Raw genomic sequence first — 25,029 nt, 5'->3', positions numbered from 1 at the left:
TAGTTTAGTCTTGCTCTCACCTTTGGGAAACCTTTCCCTCAATACCAATTACTGTTGCTTTGTATATTGTCCTAGGACCAGTGGTGAGCAGTTGAGTTTTGGCTGCAGAAGGGCACCCTAATGCCTTAGAGGAATACCTTAGTTCAGTAACAGAGGCCTTGCTAAAAACTCACCCCCAATCTTTTTCTCATCTTTACTTATCTATAGTATCGTTGTCTAAGATGGCATGCTATTGATTATACGATAGACCCAACAACAGTGTAACTGCCTCCCAAATAATACAATGAAGAATGCCTTCTCATTATTAAATTCCCAGGGAGAAATTGATATTTTTTTCTGTAAAATAAGAATTCTGCCTTTCCATTCTACAATTCTCAGTCATATGGTCCTTGGTCAGTTAACAGATTAGAGTTGAATTTCCTTTTCAGCTCCAGCTTGAGCCATCTTTCCTTAGAAAGGGTTTGATTGATAGCGTATTTGGGTTAATTAATATCTTTTTGCCATCTCTTTTATACTTGCCCTGTTATGCTTTAGATATGTCTCTTGTAAATAACATATAGGTTTTTTTTCAATTTAATCTGGAATGGTTATATTTTCATTGGTAAAGTTAATACATGTACATTGAAATATGCTGTGATTATTGTTATTTTTGTATATGTTTCTATTTTACTGTTTTCCTGTTTTTCTATTTTTTTCTTCTTGCCTTTTCTTTGGATTAGTTGAAGAAATTTTTCTTCCTCTCTTCAGTTTTTTTTTTCTATTATATGGTTTTCTATTGAAGTTATAACAAATTACTACCAAGTTAGTCACTTAAACAATACAAATTTATGATCTTACAGTTCTGTCAGAAGTCCAATCAGATCTCATCAGGTAAAGATCAGGTGTTGATAAGACTGCATTTCTCTTGAGGCTCTAGGAAAGAATCAATTTCCTTGCACATTCCAACATCTTGAAGCCATCCACATTCCTTGGTTTGGGGCCACCTTTCTCCATCTTCAAAGCCACCAATAGCAGGCTTGAGTCCTCCTCACACTGACATCTCTCTGGTTCTCTAAAGCTAGGAAAGATTCTCTGACTTTAGGGACTCATGTGATGAGATTGGGCCCAGGGGAATAATCCAGAATAATCTCTACTATCTCAAGGCCTGTAATCTTAATCACATCTGCAAAGTCCTTTTTGGCAGGTGAGGTAATATATTTATACGTTCTGGAGATTATAATGTGGACATTTTTGAGGGGTAGTGTTATTCTGCCTACTATATTCTCTGTTGCTTTAGAGGTTATGTGATTTTTATACTTGTTCTTTATTGGTTAGGCTTGAAATTTTTTCATATATTTAACTTACAGTTCTATAATAATATGGCTCTCTCCCAACTCATACAACAAGATTAGGACACTTTAGCTCTAATCTTCTCTCTTAAATCTTACATAGTTTTGTTATTATTGTTGTTTTTGGACATTCAGTTTTTTTGCCTGCATGTTAGACATTCTTTTATTTATTTATTTATTTATTTTGATAGAAACAACATTTGCTTAGATTTACCTAAACATTTGTTCACCAATTTTTCTTGCATATCAACCTGTCCTTTTAGAATATTTTCTCTTCTTGTTATTCTTCATTTCTTCATTGTAAACTACCCGTTTCTTTTTAATCTGCACGTTTTTTATTTTACCCTCTTTCTTTAATGATACTATTGCTAGACACACAATTCTAAGTTGATGGTTATTGACCAATTTTCTTTATTCCCCTTTTCTGCTATTAGTAGTTACAGAATTATATATTCTATCAATTTTTAATATTTTTAATATATGCAATTAAGGGTATAAATTTCCTTCTAACTGCTTATAACTATATCCTATTATTTTTGATATGTAATTTTTATTCAGTTTGAAACATTTTTTACTTTCTTTGTGTTGTCTTCTTTGGTTTATTATTTATTTAGAATTATGTTTATTTCCAAACATACGGAGATTTGTTTTTCTCTTTTTGTATTGGAATCTAGCTGAATTGCATGTGTCTAGAGGACATATTCTTCATGATTTTTGCCTTTCAAACTGGTTAAGATTTGCCTCTGGCTTAGAATAGTCAATTATTAATGATCTATGTGTGTTAGAAAAGAATGTTTAGGCCAGGTGTGGTGGCTCACGCTTGTAATCCCAGCACTTTGGGAGGCTGAGGCGGGTGGATCAGTTGAGGTCAGGAGTTGGAGACCAGCCTGGCCAATGTGGTGAAACCTTGTCTCTACTAAAAAATTACAAAAATTAGCCGGCCGTGGAGGCGTGTGCCTATAGTCCCAGCTGCTTGGGAGGCTGAGTGGGAGAATTGCTTGAACCCGGGAGGTGGAGGTTGTAGTGAGCTGAGATGGCACCACTGCACTCCAGCCTGGGTGACACAGCGAGACTCCATCTCAAAAAAAAAGAAAAAAAAAAAAGAAAGAAAGAAAAGAAAGGAATGTTTAGTCTGCAGTTGTTTTGTATAGTTTTATATATTTATTCATTAGGTGAAGTCTGTGAATTGTGATGTTCAAATCTTTCACATATTTACTAATTTTTGGGCAGCTTATTCTATCAATTGCCAAGGTTTTATTAAAATTTTCTAATGTAATTATCATTTGTCTATTTCTTCTTGTAGTTATGTTAGTCTTTATATTATAATTTTAAGGGTATGTTACTAGGTGATTTAAATTGTTATATCTTCTTGGTAAATTGAATCTTTTATTACTATGAAGAGACCATCTTCATCTCTAGCAATGCCTTTTACTTTAAACTGTACTTTCTCTGATATTACTATAGCTGCACTGGCTTTCTTTTAGTTAACATTCGCATGGTATACCTTTTCCATTCTTTTTACTTTAGATTTTCAGTATTCTCTTCTATGTGTGCCTTTCATTAGTTTTTGTTTTTGTTTGTTTGTTTTTTATATCTTTTTTTTTCTTTAAGTTCCGGGATACGTGTGCAGAATGTACAGGTTTATTACATAGGTATACATGTGCCATGGTGGTTTGCTGCACCTTTCAACCTATCATCTAGGCTTTAAAATCCAATCAGATTATCTTTTTAAAAAAATTTTTTTATAAATACAGTTTTATAATCTGCATCTACTGTAGAGCACTTATTTGTAACGTAACTACTAATATACTTGGCTTTAACTCTGACATCTTATCCTGAGCTTTCTTCTCCTGCCTGTTTTATTATCTTATTTTTGATTGTTCGGATTGCTTGAGGATTTTTTTCATCTATTTTTTTTCTATATACAGTTAGTATTTACACTAGAAACTACAACATATGTACTTAACTTGATAAAGCTTAAATCTAATTAATATTTTAACCTCCTTCTTTAAAATCTAAGAATCTCAGAAGACTTTAGCTCAATTTTTGTTGGGATTTTTGCTGAATTATATGCTGTTTTTGTTGTGTATTTTTTTTTGTTTTTTTTCCATGAACCTAATGATTTACTATTATTGTTTTATGTAATGAGTATTCATTTAGGTTTCTTCACTTTTTGCTTTTTATCCTTTCTTTTATCTCAAACATTCTGTTTGGGATTATTTTACCTTTGCTTAAATTACATTTTTAAAAAATATTTTCCTTTTGAGTGTGTTTACTAATAGAAAACTCAGTTTGCACTCATCTGAAAATGTCTTTATTTCACTTACATTCATGAAACTATTTTCTTATCTCTGTTGTATCTTTTTGTTTCTCTGTGCTTCATTCTGAATCTGCTTTCTTCTGTCAAACCCTTTATCTAGTTCTCATTTTCATTATTGTATTTTCATCACAAGATATTCTAATATATTCTTTTTCAGATCTGCTTATTCCATTTTGTAGCTTACAGTTTTCTATTACCTGATAATGTTTTGTAGCTTGTCTTTTAGTCCTTTAACCATAGTTTGCACAGATACTTTACAGTTTTTCTCTGATTATCCTAGTATCTGAAGTATTTGTGGGTCTCTCTCTTTTCTGTTGTTTCTCCTGGTTTTCCCTCATGTTGGCCTTTTCCCTGTATGTGTGTATGTGTCTGTGTGATTATCTTTCTATATGATTGCCATGTGTGTATGTGTGGGTGTATTGCATATATGTAAATAATATATGTGAGATATGCATTTTCATATGAATTATTTGAGGTACAGGATGACATTACTTTCCTACTAGGAGGGAATTAATTGTCTTTGCTTCTGTCTTTTTCCCATAGGCATTAGCAGTCTGTATGATTGGTAGTTCAAAAATTCTAAGTTTTGAGACTGCTTAGATGATGTGAACTTGTATTGCCATTCAAGACCTGGTTGTTTCTGATTCACCTTAAGCGGGGGTGGTATAGCCTTTGGGTCCAAATTATTTTAGGAAGGATCATCTCTTGGGTTCTGTTACCCTTTCCCAATGATGTACTGCAAATCAAAGTTCAGATTTTCCAGATAGGCAATGCTGTCAAGTCAAAAACAACTTTCATTCTTACTTTTCATTCTTTGGTTGTTTTTTTTTTTTTTTCACTTTTGTCCCAGTAATTATTTATGATCTAGTCAATTTATCTTTAATTTTTAAAAGATTTTTTAAAAATATCAACTTTTTTAGTTTTTGGTGGAAGAATTGTTCTGAATAATTTTGCTATTGTTGCCAAGCAAAAGTCTTGATCACTGAATTTTCCACCAAATTACAGGTGCCTCATTTGAGACAGTTTTCCTTTATCCATGGGGCAGATATACACTTTATGCTTGTAAACAAAGTATGAGAAAAACCAAAAATTTAGCCTTGATGTTTAGAATAGGTTTACTTTTAGAATAGGTTTAGAATAGAATATTTACTTAAGACAAATATGAATCCCATATAGATTAAAGTTTACATATTTATTCTTTTTGGTCAATGGCATTTAAAGAGTCCATAGCACTGCACTATCTAAGATGTTTAATAGCACTGTACTATCTAAGACTTTATTACATAGCAATAGCACTATACTGTCTGGGACATTTATTGTACTGCAATCAGTCATCTTTCTCAGAAATATATTTGCTGCAATTTTTGCTCAGAACCTGATGGTATATGAAGACATTTATTGCATAGCTCTGTGAGAATTGTTATTTTCTGGAAATCTATATTCTGGGTTCGTGAAGGCTGGCCATACTGTTTTTTCACAAGAAGTAGTTACCGTGTATTGCTAAGAAGTTTTAATCTTAAATAGTGGTTTTTATAATGTTTTGTTTTCTTTTGAGAATATCTCACGCTGCATCTTACAGTGCTTGCCTCAGTGCAGGCAAGAGGATTACTAAGTGGTAGATTGTTACACTGATGGCTCTCAATGAATCATACCTTGTGGTTTTCTCTCACAGTGACTCTGAGCTTGACCACGTGACTTGCATTGGCCAAAGATATGTCAGCAAAAATGACTCAAGGGGACACTTGATAATTGCCTGTACATTGGTTGATGTGTGGTGGTATTTGAAGAGGCCTGCTCTAGCCTCCTTAAGGACCACAGGAAAGAAAAGCCTAGTTGTCTCAGCTGAGCACAGCCCCCAGCTGGCCCACTAGCTGAATACAGCTGTGTGAATGATCCTAGGTGAAACCATTGCACAGCCTACCTACAGAACCTTGAGAAATTGTTGTTTTACGCCACTACATATGTGGATGGTTTGTTATGCAGTTACAGATAACAGAGATACTACTGATATATCTTTGTCACCCTATTGTTTCTTCATGTGCTGTCTTTATTTTTAAATTAACACATATGATGCTGATCTCTCTCTTATTTTCCCTCCAAAATACAATTTACTATTACTTACTGAAAAATTAAGCAGCAAAGACATGACAGAGGAATTTATTTAGAGTTATTTATCACATAGTCAATCCTTTGTCTCTTGTAGGCATTTAAGAGAAAATCAGATTACATTTTAAGCTGTTTGTCAATTTTAGACTTTTCACATTGCTTCTTGTTTATAGACATTGATGACTACTGCCATGTTTTATTTTTTCTTTAAGAGCCATGGTCAGTGAAATGTTCTTCCAGAGTTTAGCATAAACAGTTTATAGGTTAGTCTGGATTAAAATATTTAAATAATATGAATTAAAAAGTGAAGAGTTTTAAGTGTGTTTTCAATGAAGCCAGACAATATAAAGTAATATAACTGACTCATCTGCTTTAAAATAAAGAAAAACATTATCTGGTATAATTTGTAATAAACACACTAAGATGAACAATTTCTTTTGTTATTACAGTTTTAAAACTCAGCCATAAGCTATATCCAATTTAAGTAAGGATATTTGATTTTTTTTTTTTTTTTTTTTTTTGAGATGGAGTCTCGCTGTCGCCCAGGCTGGAGTGCAGTGGTGCTATCTTGGCTCACTGCAGGCTCCGACCCCCGGGTTCACATCATTCTCCTGCCTCAACCTCCTTAGTAGCTGGGACTAGTAGTAGCCCGCCACCTTGCCTGGCTAATTTTTTGTATTTTTAGTAGAGACGGGGTTTCACCGTGTTAGCCAGGATGGTCTCGATCTCCTGACCTCTTGATCCGCCTGCCTCGGCCTCCCAAAGTGCTGGGATTACAGGCGTGAGCCACCGCGCCCGGCCAGGATATTTGAATTTTATCCTGAGCTAAGTTTGTCTTATTGGTGAAAAAAATCCAAAATGAAAAGACCAACCTTTCTCCTTTTATGGATTCCTTGAATTAATGCCAGTGTTATAAGAACAACTGGAAATGCAGAGGGAAAAGTAGCAGCAATTCTTTATCACAAAAGCAGAATTACTCCAGCTAATATAGTTTTTATGTTGCATTTGCAAATAGTATTCTTGAGGATTTGGTGATGATGCCCCTTTTTAATAATATTAATAGTAACATTATTTGTGATGTGGAAGGACAGACCTAGGAGTCTGGTAAACTGGGTGTTTTGTCCTGAAAATGTTGCTGACCAGCTGTGTAACCTTTGTCATGTTACCTTGGTAGGCCTAGTTTCATCATTAGTAAAATGAGGACACTCAGGTGATCTTCATCTCCAAATTTCTCTTAATTCTGAATCTTCAGAGGGGGAGAGTGGAGAATGCATTGTTCTGATGTATCCTCCTGGAGAAAAACATGATTTTAAAAGTTAGCATGTTGTTACGTATTCATATACATTGTTGTATAAGAAGACATTTGATTCTTCATGCAGTCACCCATGTTATGAATAAAGAGTCAATAGAAGAATTTATAATTATTTCCAAATCAATGTTGAACTGACTATATAGCATACATATGTTGAAGTCTAAGAGACCAAAAACCAAGCTCATAATATATTTAATGCAATGTTTTAGAGATTAGTCCTTTGTATAAAATGTATTCTAAGAAATGGAGATTCTAAATGCCTGTGTTTTCTCATTTGGATATATTAAAAATAATTAAATTTTAGTGCTTTTTTTCCTAAGCTTCTCCCTCCCCCAAGTTTAGTATCTAATTTTGATGTTCATGGGAAAAATACTAAGCTTACTTTGTGTAAGTTTTTAAGGGATGTCTTTAATACACTTTTCTATACAATTAATTTCAAATTTTGATGATCTAGGATGATTGTTGAGAATACTGCTGCTTGGGAATTATAAATAAAAACTGTTGAACTATTTTTATTTGCAAACTTATTTTTTGTTTCCTTATAGAACGCTAGCCCTAATTAAACCAGATGCAATATCAAAGGCTGGAGAAATAATTGAAATAATAAACAAAGCTGGATTTACTATAACCAAACTCAAAATGATGATGCTTTCAAGGTAATTTTTTTATCATTTTCAGTTATGTAATGTCTGATTCCTTTTTAAAAAATCATTTTCTGTCTTTCTTGTCATTGTTTAAAATTAAAAAACCTCGTATTGAATGACAAAGAATAGAATAGTAACTTAACCAAAATGGGAACTGACAGGAGTTCATCTAGAATGTTACTGACAAAGCCGGCCCCCTAAAAGATTTGATCTTTTCCTATTCAGTGTCATGAAGCCCATATACAAAACCGAAAGTGAGTATCAAGCAGTGCAGGCTTTATTCAGTGTCTGTGGAATTGAGAAACAGGAGTGTGGCTCACAAATCAACTTCTCAACTAGTGAGGGGTGAGGGGGTTAAAATAAAGGATTTCTCTAATAAAGGACATGAAAAGCAAGAGGAGCAATATGCATGTCTTTTCTGGAAATTGGTGGTGAACTTCCACCAGTTTCACAATTGATGGTGAATCGCAGTGCTGCTTTCCTTTTTGTCTTTTTATGGCCTCTTCCGGTCATTGTCATGGTGATTTTCAGCTGTCATGGTGCTGGTGGGAGTGCCATATAGTATGAAAATGAGATTATAATGAAGCCCGAGGTCTTTTTGATGTCATTTGGTTGCATATCTTGGTTCTAACCAGTCTTAACTGGTCTGGTTGTAAAGGGAACCTTTTATTGCAGAAGTCCTGTTTCTTAAAGATAAGCAAAGTTAGGACAGGGTAGAAATTCAGCTGTCATGTAGGCATTACACCAGGCAACAAAAAGAAAAAGAAGAAAGAAAAGAACAATAAGACACCAAGTAATCAGATGCATAAATAACCACTGAAGTCTAAGTAATTAGGAGTTGTCAAATTATGCATGCCTCATTTAATTATTATTGTCTTTCAAAACCCCATCTGCTTTTATAACACCAGTGCTTGATAATTATAATCATTTCTTAATATATAAGGATAACACACTGTATAAAATTAATAGAGGAAATGATGTCTGATTATTTTTATTTGACAAGAGGATTTACTGTTGAGATTTCCAAAGATGATGCATTTGGAAATGTTTACATTTAGCTCTTCTTATTATAAATAATAGGCAAATATACCTATTTATTTTTTACCTAGATAGGTAAATATACCTATCTAACAAGCAGTACAACCTGTTTGACCAGATATTTTCTAAGTTATTTAGTGAAAATAAGACTTATACATTTACTTATCCCTTTCTATCATGAAGTAAGTAACTCTAACCCCGTAAGAATGGCAAGGAGAATATTAACAACGTACAAACAAAGGATAGGGAAAACCTTCTCTTCAGTTTTTTTTAGAGATCCTTTAGAAAAAAAACTAGTGATTTTTCCATGATATTGGACATTTGTTTTTAAAAAATTTCCTACCAAATGGACAAAGCAAAGACTGAAACATTCTGGAAGATGAAGAAGGGAGATGAGTATAGGACAGAGGCCTTTGTTTCCTGGGATCACCCTCTGGTTGGCTGAGTGTAACACAGAGTGTCTCTAGGGACAGGAATGTAGCAGTTAGGCAGATCTGGCTCCAATAGTGTTCTTATGTTTCTCCACTAGTTTTTGTTTGTTTTTGGTCAGATATCTTCTTAATGCTTCAATAAATCATTCATTTCTGGATTTATTCCATGGGTCAGTTGCATTTTTGTTTCTGTGAGAGCAGGGACAATGGGGAGCAGTAGACATTCAAGTCAGCTTCAATACATCTGATTCCGAGAAACTTTAACACAAAACCCTCCATTTTACCCTGACAATGACATGTTTAATTGGAATTTTTCCCTTATGTATGATCTCCTAGTTTACATATTTTCTAGAGAGACAGGAGGCTTACATTTCAGAGCACAGTATTTAGACCAGATTGCTTGTAACTGTGCTACTTACTAGGTGTGTGACTGAACAGTTGACCACTGTGTTTATTTCTTCATTTGCAAAATGGGATTTTTTTTTTTTTTTTTGAGATGGAGTCTTGCTCTGTTGCCCAGGCTGGAGTGTAGTGGCACGATTTCGGCTCACTGCAACCTCCACCTCCCAGGTTCAAGCAATTCTCCTGCCTTGGCCTCCCAAGTAGCTGGAACTACAGGAGCACACCACCACGCCCGGGTAATTTTTGTATTTTTAGTAGAGACGGAGTTTCGCCATGTTGGCCAAGCTAGTCTTGAACTCCTGACCTCAAATGATTCACCCGCCTCAGCCTCCCAAATTGCTGGGATTACAGGCATGAGCCACCGCGCCTGGCTTAAAATGGGATTTATAATAGTACCTATCTCATAAAGTAGTTGTGAGGGTTACATGAGTTTAGTGTCTCTATACTTCTAGTGTCTGATGACTTGGTATCTAACTTCCTGTGGTAAAGATGCTACTTGTTTATCATAATGGCCCTATAGCACATGAAGAAAAATGCTAAAACCAGCAAACACTTCAAGAGCACCATAGGGCATACATTTGCTAGTTTCTTTGAAACCTTAAGTCTTGTTAATTCCACCCATGCCTTTTGAAATACTTCATTCTTTGGAGTACCACAGATGCAAGCCCTTCTAATTACTTGTTGACACACCTGTTCATTTGTAGTTATGCACTTCCTTTTCCCATAGTCTTCTGAACACAAATCTCTTACCAAACCATTTTCACTGGCCCCTCTGGAAATCAAGTTTCATTGTGAACAAATATCCCTATGTCCATAGTGTCTTAACAGAGTGTATCTTTGCCCGCACATTTTTAGTTTAGTTGAAATCTGACCCTTCTCCAGGGACATTCCTTTCCTTTTAGCCCTGTAGGCTGCTCACTCACAAATGTTTCTTATGTCACAGGGTCACGATATAGCGTATTTTAGCTCTCTCCTAAAAATCTATACTCTTCTTCATCCTTGGAAATTCATGTTATTTAGTTGTTTTACCATCCACTGAGCCTCATTTCCATTCTACAGTTCACAAACTCCACATTTGTTAAAGATTTGGGCACTTTGTTTATAGTCTCCTTCTATTCCAGTGTCTCCTGACAGTTGGGATGACTTCAACATCTCTGTCAGTGATCATCCAGGGCTCTGCTCTATTTGCTTTCCCATCTCAGTGACGGTCACTATGATTTCAATTAGGTATTCCTCCAGATCCTTGCTTTTTGTTTTTTTAAAAAACGTGGTCTCGCTTTGTTGCCCAGGCTAGTCTCGAACTGGCCTCAAGTGAGTCTCCTGCCTTGTACTCCCAAAGTGCTAGAATTACAGGCATGAGCCACTGCATCCAGCTTGTTGTATGTTATTTTCTTTACAACTTTACTTGAGTAGTCCCATGCATGTCCATATGATCACCTACCACTTACTTATAGATGAATTCCAAATACATCTTCAGCCTTGACTTCTCTCTGCAACTGTCAATCTGAAAGTGATCCTAGATTCATCTTGCTGCTCCCCCATTCCTCATACCTACCTGATATATAAATATTTTTACTTCTGCTTTCTGTATATCTCTGGGAGCAATTCTCTCCTTATAATTCCTATTGCAGCCCCTTAGTTTAGGCATTTTATAGGCTCATATTCAGGCTTTCAACGTATCAACATAGGCTACTGACTGATTTGTCTACTTCTTGACTTACTACCTTCTATTCCTTGATGGCTCATTTCCTACCTCAAGATTGCTCCATGCCATTTTCTTATTGCCATTAGAATGAACCTCATAAAATGAAAATTTGAACATGTTACCATTCCCTTCCTTAAATCCGTCAGTGGTTTCCCATATGCAGGAAAATATGGTCAAGCAGACAAGCTCTTTGATAGAGTATACAAGACTCTTAGTCATCTGTACTCACCTACTGTAATAGCTCTAAGAGGATACTTAGGTTTCAGTTCCCTGAACATGTTGTGCTTTATCACATCTCAGTTTTCTTGTACATAATATTGTACTGTCTTGAATGCTCTGCCTTGTCTTCTGTCTCATCCATTCCTATTCATCGTTCAGAACCAACTCAAATGTCTCATGGAAACTAATTCCCAAGAAAACTTAACTGCTTATCTAATCATTCATATCACTTCATATATTTTTATTAGTATGTTGAGCTTGAGATTTCATCCAATTTATAAGCTAGGAAGTTACCTGTAACTCTTCCATGGATGTTAGCAGATGACATGAGACTTCTGGGTCAGAGACAAAAGACTTTATAATGGTAGAGCAAGCAGCATGAGCATTGTGTTTATATTGGTTCTCCTTGCCTCCATATCCTACAGGAATAAAATGACCAATGCCCAGGTGTATACTGTGTATCTAGAGGGTGGCATCACAACTGAGGAGGAGTGAGCTTGGGTTACCAGCTGTTCCATTAGCAAGCAATAAACAAGCCTACTCTTTATACTGAAGAGAGGCTTTACCTTATCCCTCAAGGTTTCTTGTTGCAAACACAATCCTGAGAAACGACACCGATGAAGATCAGTCAGGTCCTTGCATTCTTGGCATACCCGATAAGACAAGTTAGAAGAGAGAAACTCACCTGGAGGAATTTCTCACAATGTATGCATCTTTTCTAAAATTGTTTGTTCAAATGTCGGTTCCGCCATGATGACAATATCCAGAAGATAGCTGCTGAGTTCTGTATGACTTTGTATTTCTAGTTCTTGGATCAGTGCCTCAATCAAGGTTGGCATTAAGTAAATATTTCTTGAAAGGGTTAATGGATAGATCTTTGTGAAAGAATGGTTAGTTTCTTCATAAAAACACAACAAAACATAACAAAACAACAAAAAACTTCTCTAGATAGTGATTCACTTGTTAATACCTATTTCCTTCTAAACCTTTAAAGCAAAGAATTAGATAAGAATGATGGGAAAAAATTTATGAACTCTCATCGTGGTTTCAATTTTAGATTTTGAATGGAGATAACTATGGAATCAGGGACATGTTGGATGAAAACAATGAAACATTTTTAGTAATGGATTGAGGTTTTTCTTTTCAATGACGTTAAAGATTATGATTGCTTTTTCCTTTCTTGTAGTTCAGTTTTTTGCGTTTGAAAAGCTTAGAATTGGTTGTTTTAGTATTCTTCTGCTAACTCTTCTAATTTACTCTCCATGTAAGTTTTTCAGTTATTCAGTTTTACCCCATTTTAGGCTGTAATGCAGTATATACGTATCTCTTTTTTTGTGAGTTTTTCTCTTTACCCTCTAGAATGTTGTTCTACAGTTAGTAGTAGCAAGAGCATAAGCAGTCAGAAATTTGCAATCAGAGAGCTTTGGGTTCAAATCTTCTTGTCTTGTCCTTACTAGCTTTGTGAACTGGACAACTTATGTAACCATGCTGAACTTTATTCTTTTCCGATGTAAAATAAAGGTGATCACACCTATTTCAATATATTGTTGTAAGGAATAAATATAATAATTTAATCATGGCTATAATTGGCTCTAGAAAATTTTGATTTTTTTCTCCTTTCCATGTCTCGGGATGAATTTTATTCTCTATATTGGCATTACATATTTCATAATCTCTTCATAGCCAAATGAATGTTTAAGTACATTTGGTTAGAATGAGAGTATGCGTGATATAACTTGTTATGTAAATTCATTTTGTAATATCCTGATAAAATCTTAAAAGCATTGCATATCAAATGAATTCTCAAGCCTGAAAGGTTGATTCTTTGCTAGGGAACAGTTTCCAGTTTTAAAAGTAGTTAATGTTTACATATATTTGTCACATACTGTGAACCCAGTTCAAAGCCTTTAAGAAAACTACACAGTGTTAGGAGAGTCATCTGGTTTGCTTTTAAAAAAAGTTTTTTAGACTTTTTAGCTAATCAGTTTAAAATGCATTCTTTTATTGCCGCTGTAGATATTCTTTAGTGGTAATATAAATGTAAAAATAAATCCCTGTTACAATTAATAAACTCTGAATTCTAAATGTTTCCATATTCTCCCCTTTTTTAGTGATGTCAGTTAAAGCATTAGTAACCAATAAAATAAAAACATATTAAGATACATAATTTCTCAGGCAGCTTTTAAAAACACGACTGTAGTCTTTCCTTTGGAGAGACCTAGCTAAGAAAAAAAGCTATAAACATTAAATTAAAATTCTAGCCTAAGCTCTTAAGTTTAAAGCCTGTGGAAAAAAATGACAAATTTTTAATTAGAAGATGGCTTTGCATTTTTTTGATGCAACTTATTTAGACTTTAAAGAACAAATATTCTCACTGGTCAAATATTAACCTTTGTTTCTAGAACGTTCAGGATGCTGTGTAAAAAGATGGATAAGGCCAGGTGCGGTGGCTCATGCCTGTAATCCCAGCACTTTGAGAGGCCGAGGTGGGTGGATCACCTGAGGTCAGGAGTTTGAGACCAGCCTGGCCAGCATGGTGAAACCCCATCTCTAGTAAAAGTACAAAAATTAGCTGGGCATTGTGGCACACGCCTGTAATTCCAGCGACTTGGGAGGCTAAAACAGGAGAACTGCTTGAACCCAGGAGGTGGAGGTTGTAGCGAGCGCCAAGATCGTGCCACTGCACTCTGGCCTGGGTAACTCAATCTAAAAAAAAAAAAAAAAAAAAAAAGAAGAAGATAGACAATATATAACATAAGTAGAAAAGTAAACATTGCCTCCTACATTAATTTTTATTTACATTGATATTACTCATACTTAAAAAATATTTTAAAAGAGTGGCTTTGACAGAATATTTGGTGAAAAATTATTAATTAAAATATAAATTAGTATAAATTGAGAGGATTTTATCTTAATTTTATTAATGTAAGCTAAAATAATAAGTGTTTAATTTTATAATTCTTAACTATTGCCTTTTTGATTATTTTATAGGAAAGAAGCATTGGATTTTCATGTAGATCACCAGTCAAGACCCTTTTTCAAGTAGGTCCTTAATTTGGGGATTAGTGGTATGTAAAGGAGGATATCCTAGAAAACTATGGAGTTACATTTGTAAAATTTATTACTTGAGAATAATCTGTCAAAAGGGCCATAGCAACATCTTGCAACTGCACAGAATTCTAAGAATTATATTCTCTGTCTTTTTATTAAGTAAGAATTCCTATATTTTATCATTAAAAATCTTAAAGTTTAATCAGTTGCAAATAGAAAGATTTGTTTACATTACAAGAAGGATAACTTTTAAAATTTTTGGTTGATTAAAAATGGAGTGATAATTATATTTGATGTTCAATATTTTTATTATGCTTTTGTGTTTGTGGGGCTTTTAATTTTTTTAATTTTTATTTTTTATGTCAACTTTTACTTTAGATTCAGGGGGTACATGTGCAGGTTTGTTACCTGGGTATATTGTGTGATGCTGAGGTTTGGGGTACAATTGATCCCATTACCCAGGTACTGAGCGTAATACCCAATAGTTAGTTTTTCAACCCTTGCTCCCTTCCCTTTCTCCCACTCTAGTAGTCCCCAGTGTCTGTTGTTGCCATCAATAGATATTATTGTCCATGAGTAGCCATTATTTAGTTCCCACTTATAAGTAAGAACATGTGGTATTTGGTTTTCTGTTCTGCGTTAATTTGCTTAGGATAATGGCCTCCATCTCCATTCATGTTGTTGCAGAGACCATGATTTCATTCTTTTTTATTGCAGCATGGTATTCCATGGTGTATATGTACCACATTTTTTTTATCCAGTTCACCACTGATGGGCGCCTGGGTTGATTCCATGTCTTTGCTATTTTGTATAGTGCTGCAATGAACAGGCAAGTGCATGTATCTTTTTGGTAGAAAGGTTTGTTTTCTTTTGGATATATAGCAGTAATGGGATTTAAGGTTCAAATGGTAGTTCTGTTTTAAGTCCTTTGAAAAAACTCCAAACTATTTTCTACAGTGGTTGAGGTACTAATTTGCATTTCCATCAACAGTGTATAAGTGTGTTCCCTTTCTCTACAGACTTGCCAGCATATCTGTCGTTTTTTGACTTTTTTTTTAAAAAAAAATCAACTTCTATTTTAGATACAGGGGGTACACATGCAGATTTGTTACGTGGGAATATTGTGTGATGCTGAGGTTTGGAGTATGGATCCCATCATCCAGGTAGTGAGTATAGTACCCAATAGGTAGTTTTTCAAACCACCTGCCTTCTCTCCTCTAGTAGTCCACAGTGTCTATTACCCCCAAATTTGTGTCTATGTGTGTTTAATGTTTAGCTCCTACTTGTAAGTGCGAACATGCAGCATTTGGTTTTCTGTTTGTGGATTAATTTGTTTAGGATTATGGCCTCCAATTGTGTCCATATTATTGCCAAGGACATAATTTTATTTTTTTATGGCTGTGTAGAATTCTGTGTTATATATATATACCACATTTTCTTTATCCAATCTGCCACTGATGGGCACTTGAGTTATTTCCATGTATTTGCTATTGTGAATAGCACAGCAATGAGTGTATGAGGGCATGTGTCTTTTTGGCAGAATTTCTTTTCTTTTGGGTATATACCCAGTAATGGAATTGCTAGGTTAAATGGTAGCTCTGTTTTAAGTTCTTTGAGAAATATCCACACTGCTTTCCACAATGGCTGGAGTAATTAATATTCCCACCAACCGTGTATAAGCATTCTCTTTCCTCTATAGTCTTGCCAGCATGTTATTTTTTGACTTTTTAATAATAACCATTCTGACTGGTGTGAAATGGTATCTCATTGTGGTTTTGATTTGCATTTCTCCGATGATTAGTGATATTGAGCGTTTTTTCGTATGCTTATTGGCTGCTTGTATGTTCTTTTGAGAAGTGTGTATTTATGTCTTTTGCTCTTTTTTTAGTGGGGTTGTTTCATGCTTGTTTGATTATTTAAGGTCGTTACAGATTCTGCATATTAGTCCTTTGTTGAATGCATAGTTTGTGAATATTTTCTCTCATTCTGTGGATTGTCTTTTTACTCTGTTGCTAGTGCAGAAGCTTTCTGTGCAGAAGCTCTTTAGTCCCACTCGTCAATTTTTGTTTTCGTTGCCATTACTTTTGAGGACTTAGTCATAAATTCTTTCCCCAGGCCAATGTCCAGAATGGTGTTTCCTAGGTTTTCTTCTAGGATTCTTATAGTTTGAGGTCTTACTTTTAAATCTTTAATCCATCTTGAGTAAAGTTTTGTATATGGTTAATGTTAAGGGGCCAGTTTCTTTCTTCTGCTTATGGCTAGACAGGTATCCCAGCACCATTTATTGAATAGAGAATCCTTTCTCCATTGCTTATTTTTGTTGACTTTGTCAAAGTTCAGATGGCTGTAGATGTGTGGCTTTATTTCTGGGTTCTCTATTATGTTCCAGTGATCTATGTGTCTGTTTTTGTACCAGTACCATGATGTTTTGGTTACTGTAGCCTGTTGTACTTTTAAACTATTTTGGTAGTCTTGTATACATAAAGCAATGTTCATGGAACCTTTCTATTTTAACTAGTTTGATATATATTTTGTTCCTTGACATAGAACAGATAATATATGTTACACTTTATGTATTCTAAATATTTGACATGTAATTAAATTTAAGTGAATATTTTGCATGCTCATATTATTATTACTGTTGCCAAAGACTGTTTACACTTCTAATAAGAAAGAATGTTACATCAGCCAAACTAAATGGCCACAGTAGACATGTTATTTGATATCCTGCACTGAGTAGTGGGTTTTTAAAAAAATTTGTATGTAAGAAAATTATTATGCTATAGATTATTTCAAATCAAGTGTTATAAAATATTCCTAAGCCTTCTTAGAATAGCTATATACACTTTTCTAGAAAATTGGTGGAAATTATCTTTTGGTATAAACTTTGTATATGTTTATAGCATTAACTTACAACTCCTAGTCTAATGATTTATGTGTGATTTGCATGCAGTAAATTTTATTAAAGGAATGAATTAACTAGTTGCCTGTTAATGAGAATGATGTAACAAAAGACTAGGTGAAGTAATTAAATTTTCATGAAGCAGTATCTATGATCAGGCACATCCTTCCCTATATTGTTACATGCCATATTCATAGGCTTATTCAATTGTGTGTTTTGAGAATTTTGTATTAATAGGGCGTTAGATTGTAAGTGTCTTGAAGGGGGATCTTTTTTGTGGCACAGACGCTGATATGTTATAGGCAATTATTAAATGCTTATTGAGTGAATAAACATGGTTTGCTCCTTTGATTTGGGTTTTTTTAAATCTAGTGGTTGGTCTTGGGGGTTTTGTTTGTTTTGGCAGCAAAGGTCTGGCAGAAAATGTATGAGGAGGTATTATAGAACTCTTAGGATAGAAGACAAGAATACTTTTTTGTACATGCTGTTTTTTAGAAATATTCTTCAAAATGAATGGGAGTGTTTTAAAAAGGAAGTACTGAGGGGAGCTGACATATAACATGCAGGGTGGAAGGAAGTGTGTAAAAAATAGTCATAAGTTAGTGGGCACAAAAGAGCCTGTCACACCATGCTCCTTTCTCCAGGAGGATCTCTTCTCTCTACTTTGGATGAGAGAAAACCATGGGCTTACTCTAAAAAGTACTGTGTCCCTGCTTAATATAGTCAGAGGGAGGATGTCACTTATTTCATAGTTAAACTTGTCATTGCATCCTGTACACATATAAAAGTAGAAAATAAAATGAAGTATTGTCTTTTATACCTTGGGGGACTGTGACTCAGTGCTGGATTTTTAGTCAAGAACCGATGCGTACACTTTAATAATTTAATACAGAAATAACCCAGAGTAGTTTTTACGCTAATAAAAGGATATTTCTTGAAGCCTGCTGGGGATTTTTTTTTTTATCACCAAACCAGCTCAGTGTTTATTGATTAAGAGAGTTCTTTGTCAGTCTTTGAATTCTAATAGTTTTACACAAAAATAAATAAATTCTTACTAAAAATATGTTACAAGGCATCCATCCCTATATATTGTGAAATTGTACTTGACTGCAGTGGTAAACACATGTAAATAAAAAGGAAAATCCTCTGTACCTGTTAGAGCACTGGGAAAAGCATAGGTCAACAGTATGCATTTTAAGTCATGAAATAGTCTTAATTCAACAGAACAGTGATTTTTCTGGTAACAGTAATTTGACATTACTAGTGATTTGAAGTGAATTGAGCCACTGCAAGACACTCAATTTATGAAAAATTTCTCCTGCCCATGTAAAATTAACTATGCTTAATGGTTCTAAGATTATAATATTCATGTCTATGTTGAAATAATCCAATTTAAATATATCCTGTCGTTAAGACAAATACCTAGTTGACAGAAAAAAGAAGCAAACTAATCTTCTATCTGTTTTGTAGTGAGCTGATCCAGTTTATTACAACTGGTCCTATTATTGCCATGGAGATTTTAAGAGATGATGCTATATGTGAATGGAAAAGACTGCTGGGACCTGCAAACTCTGGAGTGGCACGCACAGATGCTTCTGAAAGCATTAGAGCCCTCTTTGGAACAGATGGCATAAGAAATGCAGCGCATGGCCCTGATTCTTTTGCTTCTGCGGCCAGAGTAAGGTGTTTTAAAAATATTTTAATGCTCTTCTAGTTCTGTTAAATGTTTTATATCAAAGGAAAGCATTTCTATCACTGGTGACTTAGGGTGGATTTATGCTGCTGCTCTAGTAGTAGAGAAAACCTTTGACATCTTGCCTACTATCAAACAGTGATTCAGTGTGTCTCCTTTGTGAACTGGTAACCTGATCATGATCAACGTAAGTTTTCTCCAATTAAAACACTTCTCATCCTGTTTCTTGTTCCCAAGACTTAAATTACTGAGGCTCCTAAATGTTTGAATTATTGAATTCATGTAAGAATACCAGTTTATGGCTAGTAGATATTAAAAAGAAGATATAATTTGAGATATTTCCTTTTGATTCAGACGTAACACTGTGCTTTCAAGCTTAACATCCTATTATTTTCCTATATATAGCTAGTGTTTATGAAAGTTTCTCTACTCCTTATTTTTAAATCCATATAAATAAAGCATTTATTGGATTTATACTGAGGTTGAATTAAAGAAGTGTAAGTTTATTTTTAGCATCGTGAGAAGTGTCTCACTTAAGGTAGTTTTTAATCTGGTTGTGTTTGCAATGAAACAATATTAGACAGTTTTATAATTGATTTCTTTCTTTTTCCTACCATTTCATCAGCAAGTCCCTTCAGCTCTTTCAAAATAAACCCTGAATCTGATCATTGTGGTCTGAATCACTATTATATTTTGCCAGAACTGCTACAATAGCCTCCAAATTCTTTTTTCCTCTTTTCTTACACTCAATTAATGAAAATTTTACCTTACCCAAGTAAAATCAGCTATGCCCAGTGATCTTTTAAAGACAAATCAGATTAACATTCACCTGCTGAAAACCCTTCAGTGAATTTCTGTCTCTTCTAGAATAAAATCTAAAGTCTTTATTGTGGCCTCCAATGCTCTATCTAGTCTGGCCCATATCTATCTCTAACTGTATCTTTGATCAATCTCTATCTTAATCATTGTGTTCCAGGCACACTAACCATCTCGCTATTCCTTGAATAGCATATTTCTGTCTGGAATGGTCAACTAACAGCAAAGAGGACAGTGTGGTTGGATAGGAATGAGAGAGGGAGGAAGAGGGTGATGAGGTTACAGAGGTAATTAGGGGAAAGATTATATGGTCTTATAGGCCGTAGTAGTACTTTTAGATTTTTCTCTGAAAAAATAGAGAGCCATTTTAGGGTTTTGAACAAAGGACTGATATCTTCCACTTGCCATTTAAAAGGATCATTCTGGCTGTTGCATTAAGAATGACTATAGAGGCTGGGAGTGGTGGCTCACACCTGTAATCCCAGCACTTTGGGAGGCCAAGGCGGGCAGATCATTTGAGGCCAGGAGTTCGAGACCAGCCTGGCCAATATGGTAAAACCCTGTTTCTACTAAAAATACAAAAATTAGCTGGGTGTGGTGGCGCCCACCTGTAATCCCAGCTACTCCAGAGGCTAAGGTGGGAGAATTGCTTGAACCAGGGAGGTGGAGGTTGCAGTGAACTGAGATCATGCCACTGTGCTCTAGCCTGGGTGACAGAGTGAGACTCCATCTCGGGGGAAAAAAAAAAGAATGACTATAGAGGGCAAAAACAGCAACAGGGAGCCTAATCAGGAGTCTGTTGGAATAACCCAGTGAGATGATGGCTTGGACCTGGGTGGTAATAATGAAAGAAGTATACAAATATATTTTAAAATATATATTAACGGTTGAAGGTCAAATAAACAAGATTTTCTGCTAGATTGAATGTAGAGTATGAGAAAAAGATACCAAGTATTACTCCAAAGTTCTTAGCCTGATTATCAGAAGGATAGAATTTACGTAAACTGAAATGAGGAAAACTGTGGCTAGAGTCAGAATGAATGGACAATCAGGAGTTAACGTTTTGGACATTTATAAACTTAACCTGTTTGTTAGTTTTCCAATTAGACTGATGAAAAAAATTAGTGTGACAGCTTAGAGTTATCAGCACATAAATGGTATTTAAAGCCGGGAGACTGGTTGAGATTACCAAGGAGAAGGTATAGATAGAGAAGTAAAGAGGACCAAAGATGAAGCTACATCTTGATAAAAGGTAAGGAGAAGAAGGCAGCAAAGGAGGTTGAAGAGGAGCCACCAGAGAGGTAAGAGGAAAAACTGAGAGATAATTATGTCCTGGAGGCCAAGTGAATCAAATATTCTAAAATGAGAGAATGACCAGTGGTGTCAAATAAGGCAAGTAAGAAGAGGACTAAGAATGGATTGTTAAATTTTGCAATGTGGATATCATTGGTGAACTTTGTAAGGTGAATGTTGATGGGGAGGTGGAGGCAAAACCCTGTGTGGAGTAGACTTAAAAGAAAATTGTGGGACGGGAATTGTAGTTAGTGAATATAGACAACTTTTTTTTTGAGGAGTTTTTTTGAGGAGTTTTCCTGCAAAGAGATGAGGTGGTAGCTGTCAAGAAAAGTAGTATCAATTTTTTTTAAGAGGAGAGGTATTGGGTAAAAAATTGATGATGTAGGAAAAAGAGGAAGACTTGTTGGAGCAATTTCATTAATTAGGCAAAAGGAAATGGAAATTAGAACCCAGGTGGAGAGATTAGGCAGGTGTGCCTCTCAGGTACTCGTCTATAGCAACAGATGGGAAGGGAGAATATGTGAACACAGATGCTGATTCTTAAGTAGGAAGCAAGATCAAAACAGCTGAAAGTGAGGATGAGGTATAAGGTATTGGTTGGTCTGAAGGGAGAGAAGAATATGTGAAATGGTGATCTGGAAAAGGAATAGATCAGGGAAATGTGGTGTGTGATTGCTATACTGAATTAATGGCCCATGTAGTGTTCATGGCCATGAACTATGAGTGTGGTTCTCCAGCCTGTTCAACTGCATGGCTGAAGGTAAGGAGTAGGTGGAGAGCTGGCTTTTAACCATGGCTGTGGTTTTGTGAAACAAATGTGACGGAAGTGTTAAGGAAGTTAAAGATACATGCAAGAGAGCAATTATAGTCTTTGACCATATCTTAGTAGTAGACATTTATTGTAAATGTGGTATTGTTTTGTATAGTTAAATTTCCAATCATATTTTAAAGCATTATAAAAATAATAAACATATCTAATTAATGAAGGAAATAATTGAGGCTGAACTGAAAGTCACTACCATGTTTACTGATATTTCCTGCCTATTTCACCCTATTACCACCTTATGCCATCCATTTCTTTTTTATTTCTACTAGATTATTTAATAAATTTGAGCATAAATATACTTGTTAGATTTTAGCATATCTTGTAGTGGAGCAACTTTTGTTAAGTTAGCTACTGTCTCAGTCCATTTTGTGTTGCTGTGAAGGAATACCTGAGGCTGGGTCATTTATAAAGGAAAAAGGTTTATTTGGCTCATAGTCCTGATGGCTGGGACATCAAGATTGGGCATCTGCATCTCGTGAGGGTCTCAGGCAGCTTCCACTGCCTGAGGTGGAAGGTAAAAGGGAGCCTGCGTGTGCACAGATCACATGGTAAGAGAAGAAGCAAGCCACCGGGAGAGGTGTCAGGCTGTTTTTAACAACCAGCTTTCAGAGGAACTAATAGAGGGAAAATTCGCTCACCTTGGAGGGAGGGCATTAATCTATTCATGGGATTTACCCCTACTATCCAAACCTCCCATTAGGCCCTATCTCCAACATTGGGGATCAAATTTCAACGTGAGATTTGGAAGGAACAAACATCCAATCCAGAGCAGCTACCATTGCCATTTCACCTAAAGAAATGTCTTAAACATATTCGTTTATATTTTGTGCATTTAATTTTTTTAACCTCTTTCTGCCATTAGTTCCTGAAATATCCTATTATTTGTATGAACCCTTTAGGATATATATTTTTTTACCCTTGTCTGGGGAAGAGTGAGTGTTGTTGACATTATGTTAGGTGGCTCTAGGAATTAAGGAAAAATATTGTAGCTGGAAAATGAGCTTATGTGAAGAAGCAAAGACCACAGGTCTTAAAAAATTGAAAAACATCACAGCCCCAAACTTATGCAGCCCCAAACAGCCTCTTCTTTACCTTGAATTCCTATTAGTTATTGTCTAATTTTTCATTCCATCTTTCCAGATTTTACCAAAACATAGACTTATACTCACTATTTTCATTCCTCAGCTATCTTTGACTACTCATTTGTGAGCAATTGTTAAAATTTAGCATTATTTTCATCATTCCTGAAAATACTGTCTTTGGAGACCATGACTTGTGTCTTACTAATTGGTTTTTCTTCCTTCACTTGTCCTTTCAGATGCTGGTATTGTGCAGGCTTCTTTTCTTGGTTTACTGCTTTTCTTGCTCTAATTTTCAGTTTCCTAGTCTGTAAAATAAGATAATGATTGAACCTGCATTATAGAGGTCTTTGAGGATTAAATGAAATTATTTCAGTGCTTAGTATAGTACCTAGAACATAGTATTTAATGAATGGATGTTATCTTTTATTATTAATATTTTACTTGCATGGTGCTTCCCAAACCTGTATCTGTAATTTGTACTGGATGTAATATTAGTATACAAAAATCAATAGTAATCTTGATATACTTGAAATAACCAGTTAGAAAATGTAATTTTAGAAGAGATTTCCATTCATACGGTTAAAAAAAAGTCTATGACACCTAGAATAAATTGAACAAAAGATGTGGGAGATCTGTATGGAGAAAATTATAAATATTTATTTTAGAGAATAAGGAAAGACATAAATAAATGAAGATATATGCCATGTTTATGAATGGGAAGAGTCAGTATCCTGAAGATATCAGTTCTTTCCAAGTTGATCTATAAATTGGGTAATTTCATTCAAAATCTTAGCACAGATTTTCATGAAGTTTAACAAACTTATGAAACAGCCAAGGGTCCAAAACAGTTAAGACAGTTTTGAAGAGGGAGAAAAAGATGTGGTGATGATAAGGTGAGACTTATTTTAAGGATATCATGACTTTTTATAAAGCTTTAGTAGGAAAAACTGTGGTATTAGCATGGGAGTAGGTAAGTATATCAGTGTAACAGTCTAGAGTGCTCAAGAGATGACCCAAATATAATGAGAAGTTGGTGCCATTATAAATCAGTGGACAAGGGATAGATTGATTAGTCAATAAATTGTGTGAGATAATTTTATATGGAAAAGTGTAAATTAACTTCTTAAGTTTCTATCTAGGATTCTCCTTAGAGTTTCAGACTTATATAGAAATAATACATTTGAAACTGAACTGACTACAATTTTTTTTTTTTTTTTTTGGAGACAAGAGTCTCACTCTGCTGCCCAAGCTGGAGTTCAGTGGTTGGTGTGATAATAGTTCTCTATAACTTTGAACCCATGGGCTCAAGCCATCCACTTGCCTCAGCCTCCCAAGTAGCTAGGACTACAGGCCTGTACCACCATGTCCAGCTATTTTTTTTTATTTTTTCTAAAGACAGGGTCTTGTGATATTGCCCAGTCTGGTCTCAAACTCCTGGTCTCCAGTGAGCCTCCTTCTTGGCCTCCCAAAATGCTGGGATTACAGGCATAAGCCATCATGCCCAGCCTGCACTGATTATAATTTACCAAAGTATTCCTTTTGTATTCTGTACATCTCTAGGAAAGAAATTTGGGAGCCAGTATTCTTTCTTCTGCCCTGTTTATCCCCTTAATAGAATCAGCAAAAGATCTTGTAGGTTTTTCCTTCTGAACATTTTCTTGAATTATTCCCTTTCTCTGTATTCCTACCATCACTCTTCTAGTTCTGACCTGGGCTGCTGCAAGAGTCCTGGAATATACTTTTCTACCTCAAATATATCTTCCACATAGGCTTCAGAACAAGTTGTCTAAAAATATTAATCCGTCAATCTCATGACTATTAAAAATTTTTAAAGTACTCCATTATTCCCAGAATCAAG

The 25,029-nt window shown here is 35.1% G+C and overlaps 1 protein-coding gene across 3 annotated transcripts in view; it reads left to right on the top strand.

Annotated features, from left to right (window-relative positions):
• The window catches only part of NME7 (NME/NM23 family member 7), a 235,267-nt gene that overhangs the window by 50,106 nt on the left and 160,132 nt on the right, over positions 1–25,029 (top strand). For all 3 annotated transcript variants that reach the window (NR_104229.2, NM_197972.3, NM_013330.5), the window contains exons 4-6: positions 7,612–7,722; positions 14,497–14,547; positions 18,929–19,136. Coding sequence is in view for 2 of the 3 variants with exons in the window: in NM_197972.3 (NP_932076.1) it covers positions 7,612–7,722; positions 14,497–14,547; positions 18,929–19,136 (370 nt within the window). In the remaining variant the exon portion in view is untranslated. The remainder of the gene's footprint in view (positions 1–7,611; positions 7,723–14,496; positions 14,548–18,928; positions 19,137–25,029) is intronic.

This window comes from Homo sapiens, chromosome 1 (genome assembly GCF_000001405.40).
Source record: "Homo sapiens chromosome 1, GRCh38.p14 Primary Assembly".
In the NCBI taxonomy this organism is placed as follows: Eukaryota; Metazoa; Chordata; class Mammalia; order Primates; family Hominidae; genus Homo; species Homo sapiens.
The sequence above is the reverse complement of the archived record's forward strand: the minus strand, read 5'-3'. Positions and strand labels throughout refer to the sequence as shown.